Raw genomic sequence first — 4824 nt, 5'->3', positions numbered from 1 at the left:
AAGAGATGTCCCTGCCATGCTCTGTCCACTTCTGGACCCACAGAATTTGGCTACTTCACTGAGTTTTGGTGCAAGTTTGTCACACAGTAATGAAAATGAGAACAGCCATCTGGGTGGGTTGGTAAGTCCCTAATTGGAATGTTTAGGAGGTCTGGATTTTAGTCCTGGATTGACCACAATATCACTTCTTTTAGGTTTTGATTCTAAGCACAGATATTTATGCCATTTGGGGGCTTGATGTTAACTTCCCTTGATGCTAGTCTAAATGGTCCAGGAGGAAAGAAAACAGTTTGGGCATCCTGAACCCTGGTATCTGCGTAAGTGGTGCCCTCTGTGGGTGGTGCTTTGTTAGATGCAGAATCAGCCTGTGAAGTCAGCTCAAACTGTCTCAGCTGTTGCAGGGCGGCGTATTTATTGCCTTCCTCTCTTCTCACAATTCCTCTCAAGGATCTTGGGCCTTGGAAACAAATGTCATGGGAGGCTGTTGGAATTCTGGACTCTCTGCCAGCAACTTAGCCTGAGACATTGGACAAGTTCTTTTTCTTCTTTGGGACCCGGTTCCTTATTTGTGAAATAAGGATTTGGACAAAACAAGAGCTAAATAGCTTTCATTTGTTTGTTTTTGCATGAGAGCCAGTTGAATAAAATTAAGAAAGGTTTGAAGTTTTGAGAAACATTTCTCTTTTTTCCCTTGAATTCAAAATAAAATGGCTTTTTGAGAATGAAAAGCCACACTGAGCTACTTAACTCCTTCTTTTCCATCATAACTAACATTGACTAGATATGAGATTTAGAGTATGCCAGGCATTGTGCAAAGAGCTTTATATTCTTGAGGTCATTTAGTCAACCCTTTGTGGTAAGCATTGTCATACCCGTTTCATAGATGAGAGAGCAGAGGCTTGGAAAGGTTAACTAACTTCTCAGTGTTATCCAACTGCCAGGATTTGAAGGCAAGACTCCATATTCTCCACTCTTAGCTAGCATGCTGTCCTGCTTTCGGCTCATCCCCAAACATGAAGACCTTTTCCAGAGCTTGTGCTTTGTAATTTTTGAGATTTTCGTGGGCCCCTCCTTCAAGAATGACTTCATCAATGGCCCTGGAGAAGAGCTGGGACTCAGGAGGGTGGAGCCAGGTCTTCCTGACCACCAACTTCCACCTGCTTAACAAAACATCCAGGCAAAGTGCAGATGTGGGGCTTCCTCAGCACTCTGTGTCCTGACTGAGCTCCAACCTCTGAGAATGACAGTGACAGAGGCACCTGCTACCACACCACCTGCTTTTTTCTTGCTCCATTTCCTAGACCACTTCCTCTTTGAGGACAGGGACCCTTTCCCCAAAGTATCGAATTCCTAATGAATGAACAGAACAGAGCAGATGATGGCCTCTCACATTGGGTGACTTCCAAAACCCTGTAGTCTCATGGTTAGAGGGTCAGGAGCTGGAGTCCCACAGATTTGGACCCAGATTTTAACTCTACCTTTTATAATTTTCAATCTTGTGCAAGTTACTTGTTTACTCTTGGCCTTAGTTTCTTCATCTGTAACATGAGGATAATCACAGTCTCTCTTTTTTTTTTTTTTTTTTTTTTGACACAGAGTCTCATTCTATCACACAGGCTGGAGTGCAGTGGTGCGATCGTGGCTCACTGCAAGCTCCACCTTCACGCCATTCTCTGCCTCAGCCTCCTGAGTAGCTGGGACTATAGGCGCCCACCACCATGCCCGGCTAATTTTTTGTATTTTTAGTAGAGATGGGGTTTCACCGTCTTAGCCAGGATGGTCTTGATCTCTAGACCTCGTGATCCGCCCATCTTGGCCTCCCAAAGTGCTGGGACTACAGGCGTGAGCCACTGTGCCCGGCCAGCACAGGGTTCTTAAGAGGATCAAATGCCATAGTGATACAAAGTGCTTAATTAACACTGTGCTCATTAAATATGAGCTGCTGTCTTCTTTCTCTTTTTGAAGATGAGGGAGTTGGTGATGTTGAGATATCTGGGGGTTACCTTGGGGTAAAGTGACAAACTGAAGCATCACTAGAATGCAGAGGAGGAACCCAAACTATGGAAATAATAATAACAATAATGCTACCTTACAACCAGTATAGCATGCTGCAGATTACAAATATTCTTGCCTGTACAATACAGAGACATACATACATACACACATATAGCCTTAGCTGACCCTTAACATGACCCTGGAGAATGAGGAAATCATGTCACATGATGTATTACTACTATTAAAAAATTTTTTAGAGATGGGGTCTTGTTATTTTTTTAGAGATGGGGGTGGCTCAGTTCTGGTCTTGAACTCCTGGGCTCAAGTGATCCTCTTTCCTCAGCCTCTTGAGTAGCTGGAATTACAGATGCGAACCACCATACCTGGCTACACAAGGTATTACTGAACATTGTGGAGATGTTTATCTTAAAAAAGTCTGAGCAGGCTATATGTGAACCCAGTTACCTGAAGGAGGTTGGTGAGTATGCATGTTCCTGGAAGAATGCAAGCAAGAGGCATGTTAAGATAGTGACCCTCCAGCTGTTGTAATTGTGAGAGTTCAAGATTCTGGGAACTTGTGTATGATTAACCCAAGATGAAGAAAATGGTAATCCTAAATCCTGGGCATATGCGGTCTCTCTTCACCTTTCCCTCCCTGGCACAGGCATGGCTTCACGTTCATAATAAGATTAGTGCAGCAGGAAGTCATTTCTGTGGGGTTGGGGCAGCAAGTCTCCTGTGATCTTCTGGCTTGAATTCCACATATGCTTCTTGCCACTGTCGGTCCTACTGGGCTGGATTGAGAGAGGGATGGGCAGAGATGACTCATGCTGCTGCCAGAGAGGCAGGGGGCAAGGGAAAGTGTGAGCTTCGGCAGTGTGCTAGCCAGTGGGACAGGAGAAAGCTGTAGGATAGATGAGAAAAGAGCAAATGAACGCGCCTGCAGGTGGGCTGATCACACTCTGTGGGGGTGGGGAAGGCCAAGTTGAAAGGAAATGGCACTGCTGACACCTCTCTCAGGGGAATAGGGGGAAGGGCTTCTGCAGATTTGACCATTTAATGAGTCTTCGTTTTCTGCAGCAAGGAAAGCGCTACATGTAGAGAATTTGAAAGCACAATCCTTCTGAGATATAGTCCTTGCATTAAGTCATCTACTATTAATTCATTAATTTATTGAGTACTGAATATGTGCTGGGCTTGGTGAGAGAGTGGAGTGGGAAGATTTCTGGAGCTGTAGTTAAAAGTTCTGGGTTGGCCTTGGGCAACCCATTAAATCCCTCCGAGCCTGTGTTTCCTCATCTGTAAAATGGGGATGTTGGTGCCCACCCTTTGCCCTCATAAAGTTATTGTGAGACTAGAATGAGGCTAGATGTGCAGAAAATATTTTGCAAACTGGCCTTGCTGCAGCTCTCTCTTCAGTGGGTATGGGAGAAAAATGAAGATAAATAACTGGTTTTTATTGTAAATCCATATTTTTGAAAAATGGACCATGAGTTAGTTTACAAGGTCATTATTCTAGAGTTTTTTGTTTTCTGGAGATGGAGGTCTCACTATGTGTTGCCCAGGCTGGAGTGCCATGGCTATTCACAGGCACAATCATATTGCACTACAGCCTGGAACTCTTGGTCTCAAGCAATTCTCCTGTCTTAGCCTCCCAGGTATCTGGGACTGTAGGTGCATACCACCATGCCCTGCTTCATTCTGGACTATTAACGAAGATTCAGCATTTACCTTTCTGCCAGGCTGGGAAAGTCCAGAGATAGATAACTTTGAAATCTAAACCTGACTCTACCAATTGACAGTTCTGTGACATTGGGCAAGTTAACCTTTCTGAGCATCACAAGTGAAAATGCAGATAACAGTGCCTGCCTCACAGACCATTCTTATGGACATTAAAAGAGAGAGCATATCATGCCATCAGGCACAGGGCCTGGCTTATAGAAATTCACCTGTACCTGATTGTGACCTCTTGGTGCCCCAGCAGCTGTATCATCTGGAATTTTTCTGATTAATATTCTTTAAGTATATTTATTATTATACAGAGGACAGATAATACACAATTAGGGGAAATGGCAGCACCATCTCTCTTTGCATGTCCTTCAGAGAAATTCAAGGGTTCTTGGTAACTCCTTAGAAGACATTCACTGCAGTCACCTGGAGGGCTCTCCTTGAGGCATTCTGTTGAACAGAATTTTCCCCACCTCCTTAAATTTCTAGTGAACAGAATTTTCCACACCTCCCTAAATTTCTAGTGATGGAACAAGAACATCTGTCCTGTCAGATCATCCTTCAATTCGGTTCTACCTGCAACCAATATTAGTTTCCTTCTCTTCACTTTTTTATATGTAGGGACAGCTCTTGGCCAATTACATCTTCAAGTTAACTGATGCATGTTTTTACTCTTTTCCTCCACGTAAGGGATATCAATCACATCCCCAGCAACTGTCTGTCATTCTCATTTGGCAGAGTGTAGAGACCATCATGAGTTGGGATGTTCATATTTTAGCTCCAGCTTATCCACTTTTGCTTGTGTGACTTTGAACAAGTCTCTTGATCTCTCTAAACTTCAGGTTTTTAATTTATAAAATAGGAAGAATAATCTCTACTCCATCCATATTCAGAACATTGCTGTGGACCAAGACAGATGACAGTTATGAAAAAGTTTTATGGCTATGGAATTCTGCGGCAATGTGAAAGATGATTATTCCAGAGCAATCATCACTCTAAGTAAAAGAATCAAATGTAGTGAGTGGAATTTTGTGTATGAGTCAACACATGGTACAGATTTTTCAGGGGCTTTTTAAAGTACTAAACTGCACGTTGGCCTTG

At 43.3% G+C, this 4824-nt stretch overlaps 1 annotated feature.

The window, feature by feature from the left end:
- Positions 2662 to 3202: an enhancer, noted in NCBI's record as "OCT4-NANOG hESC enhancer chr5:153204359-153204899 (GRCh37/hg19 assembly coordinates)". NCBI's record gives its function as "activates a minimal SCP1, AML or CMV promoter by ChIP-STARR-seq in naive and primed H9 embryonic stem cells {active_cell/tissue: H9 hESC(naive and primed)}" and the evidence as "EXISTENCE:reporter gene assay evidence [ECO:0000049][PMID:30033119]".

Source organism: Homo sapiens, chromosome 5 (assembly GCF_000001405.40).
Source record: "Homo sapiens chromosome 5, GRCh38.p14 Primary Assembly".
NCBI lineage: Eukaryota > Metazoa > Chordata > Mammalia > Primates > Hominidae > Homo > Homo sapiens.
This window is presented reverse-complemented; position numbering and strand designations above follow the sequence as displayed.